The sequence below is a fragment of the Homo sapiens genome, chromosome 5 (genome assembly GCF_000001405.40).
Source record: "Homo sapiens chromosome 5, GRCh38.p14 Primary Assembly".
NCBI classification, from domain to species: Eukaryota; Metazoa; Chordata; class Mammalia; order Primates; family Hominidae; genus Homo; species Homo sapiens.
The window spans coordinates 125,473,291-125,489,217 of NC_000005.10; the positions used below are offsets into that span (position 1 = coordinate 125,473,291).

Below are 15,927 nucleotides of genomic sequence, written 5' to 3' on the forward strand. Positions count from 1 at the left end.
GGACCTTGGTCCAAAGCAGTGTTTTTCCACCTTTTTTTCATTATCAATCATCACCCTTAGGGAGCTTTTCTAGACATTCTCTTCCTAATCCTGCCTTCTCCTGTCACCCTGGCCCTGCCTCAGAAACTTTGATGCCACACATATACCATATAACTGATTATATACTGTGGTCCTTTGGAAGCCCAAGCCATTGTAATATTTAATAATTAAGATCATTTTGGCCCCCAGAAACTAATGTTCACTCCTTTGGGGCTGATAATAGCTCCTGTTGACTTTCCACAGTGTAATTGATCTTTCATACCTAAAAACATCTTAAGAGTATAAAATTATTTTAGCAACTGACTATTGCTATAGTGGACAGGCTGAAGTCAGGTGTCCTGAGCTCTTGTTCTGGCTTTGCTTCTAACAATCTGTGTAATCTCAAGTAATTTCAGTTTTCTGGTTTTCAGTCACTTTAATTGTAACATAAGGGGCTGCACTGAATTAACTCCAAAATCTCTTGAGTTGAGAAACTTTATACAGTTATGTAATGATGTTATGAATCCTGTTTGATGGCTACTTTTCTAGTTTGATTTTGGAAACTACGTAGTTCATGGAGTTAAAGGTATATATTAATGGCTTCATTATGAGAAATCCATGGTACTTTTTGTGTGTTCTGCGTTTGCATTATAGGACAGCAATATTGTATTTTCATAGATGTCTTGATGAATATTATGAGCTTTTATTTCCTTGAAGGCCTATGCAGTATCATAGATGGAGGCCTGCATAATCTGGCATCATCAGAAAGATAGATTTCCTTCACAGTTCTGGGTCAGAGGTACAAGCATTCATGAGATCTTAGCTGTGTCGCTACACGAATTAAAATGGAGTAATGAATTTGTGCTGTGTTCCATGGCTTTAAGTTAGACTTGACCTTTGAATCACATTTAACAGAGTACAATCATAAGTCACAAATCAGAAAGGTTTAAGTAATGTTCTCTTCTATGAAGGAAAACTGATTTAATCCAATTTGATTTTATATAGTGTTCAGAATTTAAGGAACTCTAAAATATTGCTGTGAGTTACAGAAATCTATTAAAATATGAGAATGTTAGAATTTGGAGCATGTCATAAAATTTTAGCATGCACATATACAAATGAACTTTATTTGTATACATTATATAATGCATCCCTATTTTGACAGGTGTAGCTCATTTTAGTAATTGGAAATAGCAAGAATTAAATAATCAGAGAATTAATTTTCAATGCATCAGGGAGCTTCTTTATTCAAGAGAACTCTACTAGAAATTCTTTATAATAAATAATTATTTTATATTATAAATAATTTACTTTATTCATTGTTTCACAAATTTGTGTTCCGTGGGACTTCTATTTGGAGAGGGGTTCCTGCTTGAATTTATCCAGGTCTTTTCTAACTCCTCTGCTCTCTTCTTCATTTCCTGCTTTATCAGGAAGCGGAAGTTGCTTTTTACAATATTTCTTGAAGTGATTTAGATTTTTAAGATTATTTAGAATAACATATACACATGTGAAGAACCTTTTTTAAACTAATTTTGATGATTAAATATTTTAGTAGAAAATCTTGATGCTTTGATGATGACAAAGTCTCTGTCTCTTTACTGGGCTGTACTGAAGAACATTCCATCAAAGGTGAGAAGAAGAACAAGATAAGTGCATGAAGAAAATACGATACTTCACTCTTCCACATGTGTATTGAGATATGCTCACAATAAGTCTGTAGTATTTGAGATTTTCTTTTAACTTATAGTACATCAATATATTCTACTCATCACAAAAATATATTAATTTACCAACCCATTTTGCATAGTTGAATTTGGGAATATGTTATTTATGTGTGACATTATCATGTGTTATGTGTTATTTAAATGTCAAATGAAGACAAAAATTTTCTCAGAGGATTATTCTTAAATGCAAGAGATTAGTTAAATATATTCATGCATTAGACAGAATTAACTTTTAATCTGGTTTTAATCTGATGAACTAGTTCTTATCAAACTTAACCATTGCTTATTTTTGGAGAACTGTCAACTGTAAGGTTTATTTCAAATTCATAACACAGTGTACTAAATAGCATATCTGCACCTTATAAAAATTAATGTAAAATATAGATCAATCATGCAAATCTAGTAAAGTAGTTTGACATAAAAAGGATGGCACAAAACTGAGTGGTTATTTGGAGGTAGCAAGACTAAGGGGAGACTTTATCTATTTCATTTTATGTGGTGCAAGGTAGATCTGAACAAATTCATAAAGAAAGAGGTATGGTCAGTAGAAAGAAAGCAATTAGGGATTCAAGTGAGAAAACAGGTAATATTTGGGTCAAGTTCCTTTACTAATTGGGATAAAGATGAGATCAAGGATCAAGGAGGAGGGTTAGATCATCAAAGGTGAGAAGAACAAAATAAGTGCATCTTTAGATCTCATCTAAAGATGAGATCATCTTTAGATTTTAGGAAACTAGATAAGGTGAAAAGAGGCATTTGAGCTGGAAAGGAAGTCTGGCTCTAGCACAAGTCTTCTCAATAATGGGCTGATGACTGAGTTTGAAGCTTATGTTCTGTATGATTCTCAGCACAGCAGTAGGATCTGTTGACAGAAGATACAGGGCACATATTATACTGCATCCCAAGAAAGAACTTCCTAGCAATCCTTCCTGTCTATAAATAGAGAGTGATCTCAGAAATGATTGGGTTCCGATTCTTGCCACATGCCGGGGAAACCTACTTGGCAGATTGCTATAGGGAAGATTTAAACATAAAGCAAGAAAGGTACATGTCAGGCTGAAAGAATAAAAGATTTCAACCACCAGTAAAGACACTCAGAAGGCCAGTTAAGGAGCACCTAGTCTTCTTATGATGAATAACTTTCTTCAACAGACTAGAAAAAACAAGCAGAAAGTAAGTAGAATGGTGAATTTTTACAAGAATTATTAGAATAATGGCAATTGAATACAATAACAATTAGAAGGGAAAACAACAAAACTAGAAGTAAAATAATGACCTGGAAGAAAGTGGTTGGAAGGGTTAAAAAACCAAATACCTCCAGGGTGAAAAAGTTTATAAAAATTACCTCTCTGAAAGGAATTTTCTCTTCCTAGCATCTTGTAATTTCTATTCTCAAGCAGTTAGTTATTCCCTAACCTGCCTGGTCAAGTGTTGTCCAAGAACGTACATAATAAATTTATCTAAAACCAAACTGGAATAACTCTAGTTATGAACAAGTCAGTTAAATTCTGTTTAGGAACAAGCTTTTAGGAGCAGCAATCTCATTATACTATCATGGATGGGGTCAGTGGGTTGAAAAGATATCCCCATCCCCCCAAAAAATTTGACATATTTCTTGACAAGTTTTTGAATTAAGATTTATTATCCTTTGCAAGTTAAACGAAAGTCTTAAGGAAAAAAACAACCTGAAATGAAGTGACAGTTGCATAATAGTTAAATTGTAAATATACTTGAACCATGTCTAAGTTTAAATTCCTTCTCAATTGCCCTGATACTTATTTTTCCTCTTTAATTTAAAACAAGATCATTACATTGGAATGTGCTAAAAAATGGATAAAGTAAATTTGCGTCAGTTATTTCTTCCATTACTGATGCACCATTCAAAAGTATTTTGGATTTCAGCTGAAGAGAGAAAACTGGAACAATAAAGTGTGGGCAGGTGGTGGCGGCAGGCATACTTCATCAAAGGAAAAAGTCTATCGAGGACTTTCATTAAGAGCATACCCTCCTCAAAATATTTGCCTGCTGAACCTGAGATGACATGTGGAAACAAAACTCAAGATAAGACAGGCTCTTGCCCACTTACATCACTAATAAGAATTTAGGCAGGTACTCCACCTAAAAGAGCCATACTTTTACTCCCACGGAGATAAAATTTGAGATTGTACAGACCTCATCACTCAGATTTTGCATATAAAATATCATGGTCCACAAGGCCAAAAACTGTAGATAAATCATGTCCCCTATAGTATATGACCCTTACATCTGCAGCTCTATAGATATTATTTGTCATTTTTAAAACAAATGTTTTAGTGTTTGGATAAGATAGGAGGAAAACCAATTTCTGTGATAGTAATGTACTGGGATGTCAGCACATAACCAACCAATGACTAATACAAAGAGAATGGAGAGGGGATATGCTGCTAATTTGTCTTGACTAGCTGTAGAAATAAGCATGCATTTAAAACATAAGGTGATGGAATTTTATCAAGACTGCAAAAACATGGTCTTTTCCTTAGAAAATGTATATACCTGAGTAAAAAGATGAGCATTTTTTTAGGAAAAATTGAGAATTGTTTCAGGGGCATTCAGTTGTCACCCTCATTGAGCTCCTCCATTTCTTCTTTTCTCTTCTTCTGAAAAGCCAGTATTAACCCAGTAAAAATAAGGGTATTGGTACTTATCTGATCAACTCAATAATGAAAAACTTTCTGTCTCCCTCCAGGCAATGGAGGATTTCCGTGGGAGGTGAAGCAGAAAGGAAAGAGGTAGTTGAGCTGGGTAGCTTTTTTTCATACCACACTTATCAGACATCACCAAATGTCCATCTTATTAAATATTGTTTATATACAATTACTACCACAGGTTTTTTAAAAGGAAAGAACTGCCTGAAGTAAGAATTGACTCTCAAACTTGTTCAAGGAAGCACACTTTTTTTCTTCGGCTAGATTGTAAACCCTTCAACATAAACATCTAACTACACATTTCTCTCTATGGTCCAATACAGTCTTGTTCATACAAAGAAAAATGCTTGAAAAACCCTTGTAAACTAGATTACAGAGTCTGCCAAACCAAACTCCTTCTCCTGATCACTGTTATCACTGCTATTTCTTTGGTGTCATTTTTTTTTTTTTTTTTTTTGAGACGAAGTCTTGCTCTTGTCCCCCAGGCTGGAGTGCAATGGTGTGATCTTGGCTCACTGCAACCTTCGCCTCCCGGGTTCAAGCAATTCTCTTGCCTCGGCCTCCTGAGTAGCTGGGATTACAGGTGCCTGCCACCATGCCCGGCTAATGTTTGTATTTTTAGTAGAAACGAGGTTTCACCATGTTGGCCAGGCAGGTCTTGAACTCCTGACCTCAGGTGATCCACCCACCTTGGCCTCCCAAAGTGTTGGGCTTACAGGCATGAGCTACCGCACCTGGCCCCAGCTTCTCTTTCTGCTATATTTTGAAGGCCAGCTCTTTGCAGTCTATTAGGACAGCAGTCCCCAACCTTTTTGGCAGCAGGGACCAGTTTCGTGAAAGACATTTTTTTTTCCCATGGACTGGAGTGGGGTATGGTTTCCACAAGAAACTGTTGCACCTCAGATCACCAGGCATTAGATTCCCATAAAGAGCGCACAACCTAGATCCTTCACACGCGCAGCTCACAATAGGGTTTGTGCTCCTATGAGAATCTAATGCCACCACTGATCTGACAGGAGGCGGAGTTTAAGTAGTAATGCCTATTTGCACACCACTCACAGGGTTGGGGAAATGCAGCTCCAGAAATCTTGAATGTTTACCTTACAGGTACAGGAGTTGGCAGTCTATAGCACAGTTAAACCAGATTGATGACATTCTATAATGAGGAAGTGTTCATCATCTGAACTTGGCACAGAAGTCACAGTTCTGTTTAATATAATATATGACATACTTTTACTCACACATAGATTTATTCTACTTTAAAATAAGTTATTTTCAAAATGGTTTCAAAATACTTTTCTGTATGAAGGGTATGTTGCCTTGCAGAGTCTGACCCCCCTGGGATCCCAAGAGGGATCAGGTCAATCAGCTCATCTAAATTGGCCACCCATGTGAGCACTCAATATGCAATTCAAACATAAAACATTCTTTATATTTTTTCTCTAACTTATATACAGAATATATTACATGATTACCCTAATTGAAGGTAATTCACCATCTAAAACCATAACTAATGATCTCTTTGAGATGAGGCTATTTTGGGGGTGAGAAAACGTTTTGAACTTGGACTCTGGTAAGATTTGCTCAATTTTGTAAAAATGTACTAAAAAGCCATCGAGTTGTATACTTAAAATGATTGGATTTAATGATATGTAAGTTATATCTCAGTAAAGCTGTTTTTAGAAAAGTAATTTGGTATGATTTCCTACTTAAGTTCAACATGAATGAGGTTTTCCAAGCAGATTTTATGCTCAGCTAAGTTTCATGTCTATGTTAAATACAGGTAGGGATTCCGTAAGTGCCTTTTATGATTAAGCTTCCTTTCACATATCCCATCTCACCCAATTGGGAGGATTCCATTTAACAGACCCCCCAAAATCAAACAAGTTCATAGTTTTCCAAAGCAATTTGAGTACTACAGAGAATAAAGTTTTAAAATTAACCCTAAATAGTTATGTAGCATGGTGATGAGAAATCATTCCCTATTTAATCTGATAATGCCACAAAGGGAAATGAGGGCAAAATCATTGTTTCAAAGAGAAGAATGTTGATATTTCTGTGTATTAGGATGTATAAACACTTACATAGCAGAGTAAGCCTAGTTTAATGGGGCAGACTGCATTGGATGGTAGACCAACATGTAATTCATAGGCACACATCTGCACAGGAGGTGGTCATCAGTGGATTCTGGCCACAGGTAATAGGCAGATACCCAGATAGACAAGTAGTTGTGTTATATGTCCCAAACTTGAGTTCAAAGCAGTACTGTGGGTATTTAGGAAAGAAATCTAAGACTAACAAGATAGTTTACTGAGATAGAGAAATGGCTGCAATAATAAAAAGTAGGAAGTCATTTCTTAGTGGATTAAATACCACGTAGAGGCTGACTACCAAGAACAATGGCAAAATCTAAATTCTAATACTAAGGCAGAAGGTCAAAGTGAGCTAAACCACAGGCTGACTTGAAGTTGATTTGCCTAAGATATTTACCTAGCCATTCTTAAATTCATCCTGATCTGGTCCAGAACCCTGGCTGGGGATTCAGGTAGGGGCTAGGTGGCCCCAGCTGCAGGGAATAGAAAGCCAGGAAGCTGGGAGCCCGATGAGTTATCATAGCATCTATAACTGGAATGGGCAACCACTCAGTCATAGATTAACAAGACATGTAGGTTGATTGGGACCTGCTTACTTCTCTGCCCTTCCTGTATGGCAGAAATTGTAGCTTAATTCTTCCCTTTTCTCTCTTTTTACACATGCTTTGTGGAGTTTGAAGTGGATACTTTCTAAAATGTACTTGACTGCTATAAAATTTGGACTGGGCAACACTTGTCTATAACGTCCAGCTGAATATGCTCACCACTTTCAGATAATTGGAAACAAACGTTCTATGACATGGTATTCATATTTATATCCAAGGCCCAAACTTAAAAAATTTAGAAAACCATAACATGGAGCAAATAGTTTGGCAATTCATAAACTACATTAAAAAACTGTCAATCTCTCTCACTTTGTCGCTCCATGAACTTAGGTCAGATAATGATAATCAACTCCAACCCAGTACTACTGTTCAAGCAGACCTGTTCAGGCACACAAACCCACAGAGACTCTACAAAACGAATTCAACAGTTCACCACCCTACCAATATAAGAAAAACAAAAAGAGACAAACAGAAAACTAAAATCATAGTAGAATGAAAATGCTACATACTTATAGGCTATGAGTCCCCCAAACCAGAATGAAAATATGTAGGGTGAGTGTCCAAAAACAATTCTGTGTGTTAATAATACAATAAATCAGGCCCAGATGTCATAAACACAATAAATCAATTGAAACTGCCAAACCACTTCTCTCAACCTACTGGATTTAATTAAAACCACCACTCGGTTCATGAGAGGCCTTCTAATAGAGCCGATAATATCACTCCGGCTCAACCATCCACCTAACCTGATGTGGGAGACGCAGCATGTTAAATTTTAATCTACAGGCCTGTTAAACATGGCAGGGTTTAGTACACATCTGCAGTGATGGACTGTCATTCCTCCAAGCCCTCCTCTCATCCTCCTGAAGTACTCATTTAGAACGCTATCCATCTGCCTTTGCCCTCATAATATGGTAAGTGCCAGATAAACACTATAGGAATATTGACTTTTTGGTCGTTGTTTTTTTGTTAAAAATACAGCACGGTCATTGAAAACAGACTAGCTTATTTGATCAAATACGTGAAACAAAGGGTGGCACTGTGTTGGTGGTTTTACATTTTTTAGTGAATCTTCCCAAGACATCCTAACTCTAGCCTTATGTCTATAAAGATCTGTTCCCAAAAAGCCCATAAATGCCACTCAGGAGAAGGACAGAAAGAATAAGAGAAAACAACAACAACAATGAAACACTCACAAACTATTGTGAATTCATGAAGCTGACAAAGGGCACAGGCTTGAAGGCATCTTCTAGGACTGGAGGTTAGAAATCTCATTGGCCCGTAAATAGAAAAGATCCCTTGAGTTTACTGCAGAAAAGACACAGAGATACCCATTCACGAGGTTGTTTTAACTTGAAGGATCACATTATTCATCATGAACAATCTCAAAACGCAGTCAACAGAAGCCTTCCTGGCAGCTTCCTTGTGTATACTTGGCTCCATTTTATAAAGACAGAACAGACTATGTTTGGCATTTTTGCCTTGAGTTATTGACATGTTTTAAATTATGCTGTTTTACGTCCATTCTTAATAGAACAGAAATCTGCTACAAACGATCTTTATTAACAGACTGCCTCAGGTGCTGAGCAGACTCTCCATTTAACAACATCTCCAAACAGACAGGCAGAGAGCTTGCTAATAGGCTTTTCCAACCCTTTGGCTTCTGTGAGATGTAAGTGGATTATGGAGGTTTGTTTGTCAGGCTATCTTTTTACATCACTGTCTGAGTAATTGCCACAAAGGCCTATTGCTTTGCCCTAATTAACAAAATGTACAAAATCCTAAGCATAGAACTTTTATTGATGAGCCATCTTCATGGAAAGCTTATGAACCCCCATGACTCCTGGCCCGAGACAGATGCTCTTCATCATGTCACACACTTGACTCCAGTCTGTTAATATACCAGGGATTCGTCTTAGCATTTTGAGCTACTCAGAAAGTGCCAGAGAAAAACACATTTATTGGTGGTGGTTTAAAAACCAGTAGCCTTGGCATAAGACAACTTGTTAAGCAAATTTCACCATTTGTTTACTATAAAACTGTTTTAATACTATCAGTTCTACTTTTTTCCATGAAAATTGATCCTTGAGAAGGTAATTTCAGTAATAAAAACTACAAGGTTAATAAGTAGAGAAAAAAAATAAGCAGAAAACGTGACTTGAAGGAAGTAAAAAACACAAAGAAGAAATAAGAGTTAATTTATTGTTCAGCCACTTTTTGTTAACTCAACCATTATTTCGGCCAGGTGCGGTGGCTCACGCCAGTAATCCTAGCACTTTGGGAAGCTGAGGTGGGCAGATCACAAGGTCAGGAGTTTGAGACCAGCCTGGCTAATATCGTGAAACCTCGTCTCTACTAAAAATACAAAAATTAGCTGGGCGTGCTGGCACACACCTGTAGTCCCAGCTACTTGGGAGGCTGAGGCAGGAGAATCGCTTGAACCTGGGAAGCAGAGGTTGCAGTGAGCCAAGATCATGCCACTGCACTCCAGCCTGGGTGACAGGCGGGAGACTCCGTCTCAAACTAAATAAATAAATAAATAAAAATAAATAAAATAAAATAATTATTTCAACAAATATTTCAGGGCATGTGTGCCAGAGGACTATTTTAGGCACTCGGATGAACTAGGGAGGAAGAACTAAGGAGACAGAGTCCTTGCTCTCGTGGAGCTTTTAATATTGAAGACGAGACATTCTTTATACTTATTTTTTCTTAGTAACTCAGTAAAAAATCCATGGGATAAGAAATTCTGCTTGAGACTTAGAAGGTAAAATTGACCATGGGAAATTAAGCCACATATATCATTTTGTATTTAACATTCAGTAGGTACATGTTGTAAAAGGTGCTATAGACACTTTTTGGAGTTTGAGAAGACACAGGACCTGCTCTTAAGGAACTCTAATTTAAAATGGGAAGCAGAACAAAAACATATTTTAATGTGCTTATACACATAGATGGATTAAAAAGTTTTGACTAAATTTGTGTGTTTTTTAAAAATTTAAATCAACCAAGTAACCAGGTAATGAATGCATAGCAACAGATACATTAAATCCGAACAGTTTAATGGGTTTTAGTTGAGAACTGAGCTGGAGCAACATACGTAGGATTCAACTAATTCAGAAAACTTAAAGGGCCCGAGGCTAGATTGTATTTATTTTCCTTTTTGTTTTTCCAGGATTAAAGGGTACACAGCATTTTTTTTCTAAATCTGGAAAAGATATCATTTATCTAATCTTAGGAAATTGTGCTGAATTTGGGGGAAGTTTTATCCCAAAGTCTAAACATAGAGCTTTAAGCACATACATAGGCATTCATTAACACAAAATTGAATTCAGGAGAAATGTGATGAGAACCTGACATGTGTCAAGCCTTTCTGCTGTATGCTAAATATTTATGATAAATGTCATAGCAGCTGTCTTCAAACATAAAAAGCAAACATCAGAGCAGTGTAAGCCTAAAGGGTTAGGCAGGTCAAGGTCAACGGGCTGAACAGAATATGGTGAGTGGCTCTTGGGTATTCTTCCATCTACAAGGAGAGATTATACCAGGAAAAGGTAACCTCTACTGCACCAGCAGCTCCTTCCACTAGCCACTGGGGAATTAAAATAAAAGGTAAAGAAGGCCTTCTTTTGGATCCACAGCAGTAACAACAGCAATACCAATAATTAACGCAAGCTATTGTTTGTTGAGGGCTAACCTTGTTCCTCATTCCCTTTGTTAATGGCTTACGTTCATGAACTTCTTTAATCTTAAAAAGAGCCCTGCAAAAGTAGATATTACCACTATCTCCATTTCATATGTGAGGACACAGACAGAGAGTAGCCATTTGCTCAAGATTGCCAAGCCAAGAAGGGTTCCATGAGTGTTTAAACCTAGAAGTAAGTCTGAAGCTTAGCCCCTTATTCATGGCACTAAATTTCCAGGGACTTGACTGATGCTCTGGCATTTTTGGTGGTTTGGAGGGAGGGAGGCAGTGATTCATCACTCTTTACCCAGCCCGTTGTTTTCCCCGGGTTTTGCAAGAGATCATGTTTAAGGTCAACTGGTTATCACCTGCCTAGACGCTAGTGATTTACAATTATTTCTTTATTAAGAAAATGCTTGGTGTGTGAGTGGTCTCTCTCTGAAAAAATGCCAACAGGAAGGCCTTGTCAGATTTTTGGCAGATACACATTTAAACACATAAAAACAAGTTTAAACACTATCATTTATGCATAATTCTTTCTTGGCATCATCTCTCACTTGCCACAATTTGCAGCCAGAAAACACTTATTTCTACTTTTCTTACTCTAGAAATAATCCAGCCTTAAGTGGATCTAATTCCTTCCCAGAAGAGAAACAGCCTTGTCAGGACTTGGTTGTGTGTGCTGTGTTTGAGGCATCAAGGTTTCCATTTACGGCACAGCTGCACGGACTCCGAAAGCTGGTGCTGAGCCAGAGCTCTGTACCCACTGAGATCTGTAGTCTGGAATGATAAACACACAGCTGCCTGTGGCGAGGGCCACAGGCATAATAGATGGCCACATCTCAACCAGAGTCAAGCGAAGCCTACACAAATCATTAATCCAACTGCTTATATGTTAAATATCACAAACTGTGTACGAAATGGTGAGCTATCTCAGTGGAAGGAGGGGAAAATGGCAGAGGCAATTTAAGGAAACAGGAGAGTAAGTGGCTGTAAGTCCTCTGCAAAGTCCTGCTCTAGAGCTGATTTACTGCCACCAAGCCCTCTTGCTGCAAATAGTTCATAAAGCCTATGACCTGAGTACTTGCCCACGGGACCACAATAACATTTATCTAGCATAAATTAATGTGTTTCAACCACTAATTCAATTTGGCTGTCTCATTCTTCTGGTTTTGGCAAAGCCTAGCCTTGCTATAAAGTCACTCCGTGACTCACACGAATGGCTGTGTTTGTTAAGGAGTCACACACCACTAGGAACAAAGAGTGCTGTTAGTTGAGTAGTCATAAAATATACCTCCCGAGCACATTTGGAGCTGTGCTAATTGAAACTTCCTCTTTAGAGGAGCCTGATCAAAACCAGCTGTAGGAGTCAAGCAGGAACAGATTTCAACATTACATTAAAAGCCCAACAAATTCAGTAAGAGCAGCCTCTGAGAGAAGAGGGCATTCCAGCCTGAACAAATGCTCTAATTGCCTCCTGACATGCTGCAAAGAAAGCTTGTGACCTGAGCCTGGAGAGCTGTGGAGAGAAACTTCTCCATAAGATTTGAAAAAAAGCAACCTCTAGGGCAGTTCTCCTCATAAAATTCCAGATCTGCCAACATTCTCAAGTAACACATGTGAAAACCCACAAAAGCTGAGTGAATTTAGGCAAATGAAGTGATATATTGTTCTGAAAGGGGAAAAACAGAGCTTAAGTATTTTCAATGGTAATATGACCTTTTATGGACATCCCTTTAGTATTGAAAACAAAAACAAAACCTCCAACTCACAGAGGAACAAACAAAATACAAATAAGAAGCAAAAGCCTGGATGAATCGCAAAGAAAAGACACAGAGTGTATTTAAAGACAAAAAATGAGAGCTGTCTCTTCCTCTTTGGCGGCTTGTGAATTTCCTATTCCAAGACATAAGGGCTGCACTCTGCCAATGTGTATAAAATCAAATGCATCCATAGGTTCGCTGAAAATGTGGAATAATCATGCATTTTCTGTGTTTGCTTTACTTGAGGGTGGTTTAGCCATTTGTAAAGGAAGCAGTCATTGATATATAAATATAAATAGCAAATCTATCCATCAAATATGTGCATTGTATTTAATTTAGATGAGTGGAATGCCTGGAAATGTTACAAGCAAGTTTTGCATTATAACACCTTTAAGTAGCATATAAATTAGAAAGGATTGCTGATCTTTATAATTTATTTACTCATCAATTTAATGGAGTATCTAATTTTGGAGCTATGTCACACTGATTCTTAAAGATACAGGGTGGGGGAGGTTTATTTACATAGATATAGAAAGGACCATTATGTTTTATGTCATAAAAGAGTGAGTGACTTATATGTAGTATATGAATTATAATGATTATTCTGGAGGATCTAATTATAGTCTCACAAATAATAACCATGAAAGATGAAAGATGCTCCATTTTTGTCCTTTTTTGGGGACTGTGTTAAGAGGCTAACCTGTCCTTTCTCCTTTTTGTTTCTTTTATCCCAACAGAAGGTATTAAACTAGTAATAACTCACTGGGTTAAACGCAAAACAAAAACAAAAGCACCCACACAAAAGAAGAAATTATATGGTTACATAGTCATGTAACTCCCTGTTTCATTTTTATGTTAAAAGCTTGCATTTAGAGTTTAACAGACTGGCATAAAATGTGGCCTTCGGTGCATGTGATGTGGTCTTCTGAATTTGTGAACATACCAGTGGAAAGTATTTCTGTTGCTGCTTTAGTATTCATCTGGCTTGTCAGATCCTGAATCATTCTCAATGCATAATGCAATTCACATTCCAATGCTATGCCCTTGATTTTATTTATCTTGCTTATCCAAGTACTATAGACATTAGGGAGTATTAAATATAGTGATCTTAAACTGGATAGAGAAAGTTGAAGAGTTGGAAAAAAATTTCAAAAGATAATTCAAAATTAAGTGATGAAAAAAAAAACATGTAAAATATGGCCAAACATAAAAATATTCTGATTTAAAACAGAGTGAAGAAAATAGTCATTATCCCAATTTTACCACTAAAATATTACTTAAAAACTCAGAAAAGTTGAATTCTCGTGTTGCACCAAAACTAGACTCGAAGTTAACTAATAATAACAATGAAGGAGCTTTCAATTATCTTAGAATTAAAACGACAAAAACTAAAAATGACTTCCAGGTTCCATATAATTAGAAACTGTGGAGATCAGTCCACTCCAAAATGGTTTGAAAACCTTTGCTTCTTCCCTACTGCTTTACCCCTGGTTCAGTAAATTGTCCTTACTAAAGCCAGTTAGGCAGCTGTTCTCAGGACTGAGGGAGTTTCATTCCAAAGCAGCACAATACTGTCTCCTCCTTCCTTTCACAACATCTGTGATTTCTGTCTGTGAACAGAAAGAGATTGTCCACTAAAACTCGCAGAAATCCAAGCAGAGAGTCAGTGGGTTGCTTTGGGAGGTGGTGTTGAACATTCAAGAATTAAAACGCAAAGCAAATGCAGGGTCAGGACCAAGCAAAGAATTCACCTCAGGCCAGCAGGATGGCAGTAGACAAAATTTGATAAACCCTGGGAATTGGATTAGGAGTTAAACATGATCTTCTCTGTAGGAGGAGGATGAATAGGCCAGAAGCCATGAAGATGTCCAAAGGGTAAGCCCAGATAGATATTTCTTTATTGTAAGACACATTATTAAAATTAATCGTGAAGTAATCATCAGAGACATGCAAATCAAAACCACAATGAGATACCATCTCACACCAGTTAGAATGGCGATCATTAAAAAGTCAGGAAACAACAGGTGCTGGAGAGGATGTGGAGAAATAGGAACACTTTGACACTGTTGGTGGGACTGTAAACCGGTTCAACTATTGTGGAAGACAGTGTGGCGATTCCCCAGGGATCTAGAGCTAGAAATACCATTTGACCAGCCATCCCATTACTGGGTATATACCCAAAGGATTATAAATCATGCTGCTATAAAGACACATGCACATGTATGTTTATTGTGGCACTATTCACAATAACAAAGACCTGGAACCAACCCAAATGTCCAACAATGATAGACTGGATTAAGAAAATGTAGCACATATACACCATGGAATACTATGCAGCCATAAAAAAGGATGAGTTCATGTCCTTTGCAGGGACATGGATGAAGCTGGAAACCATCATTCTCAGCAAACTATTGCAAGGACAAAAAACCAAACATTGCATGTTCTCACTCATAGCTGGTAATTGAACAATGAGAACACTTGGACACAGGAAGTGGGACATCACCCCCTTGTTGTGAGGTGGGGGGACGGGGGAGGGATAGCATTAGGAGATATACCTAATGTAAATGATGAGTTAAGGGGTGCAACACACCAACATGGCACATGTATACATATGTAACAAAACCTGCACGTTGTGTACATGTACCCTAGAACTTAAAGTATAATAATAATAATAATGAAAAAAAATACAGCAAAACAAGAAAAAATATTTGTCATCTTAAGGATTCAGATGAAGAGCAGACCTCTGAGTCCATGAACTACAAGAACAGAAATATTAATTGAGCATATTGTTTGGGAGCTTCATGTGACAAAGGCAGTTGGTGTCTCATTCTTCCTAGGCTGGGCATATGTAACTGCATTACTCAAACTCCCTTATAGATACATGGTCAAGACTAAGCTTTCTTCGGTGGAACGTAAATGAATGGCTGTTACTGGATTAAAAATTACAACAAACAAACAAAACCTCCCAAAAACTCTTGCCCTGGACATCCACTTTTCTATTGATTAGAAAAAAAGTACCCTTGGAAAATAAACATCAGAAAGGCAGAGCTCTGCTGCATGATGATAGAATAGGTAAATTAGCTCTCACAAGGAGACTGACTATTGGAGTAGAGATGAGGGTAGAAAAAAAGCAGAAAAATAATTAAAAGAGAATGTACAAACTGGACATTTTAAAATAATTATCTTTACTTGAAGATATCTAATAGCTAACAAAACTGTGAAGAATTTTAGGAATAAGATCAATGAAAAAACAAGAAACCCAGATAAGTGAGCCCAGTGCTTGGAGACAGTTTCTCCCAATAGCAGCTGCCAATTCTAAAAGTCAAGTGAGAAGCTAAGAAGCTAAGCAGAA

The 15,927-nt window shown here is 37.3% G+C and overlaps 1 long non-coding RNA gene across 1 annotated transcript in view; it reads right to left on the reverse strand.

The window, feature by feature from the left end:
- Nucleotides 1-5,804: 5,804 nt before the first annotated feature.
- LOC124901056 (uncharacterized) overlaps nt 5,805-15,927 on the reverse strand; it is an 891,204-nt gene continuing 881,081 nt past the window's right edge. Inside the window, exon 9 of the long non-coding RNA XR_007058919.1 lies at nt 5,805-8,435. This is a non-coding gene — a long non-coding RNA (uncharacterized LOC124901056). The remainder of the gene's footprint in view (nt 8,436-15,927) is intronic.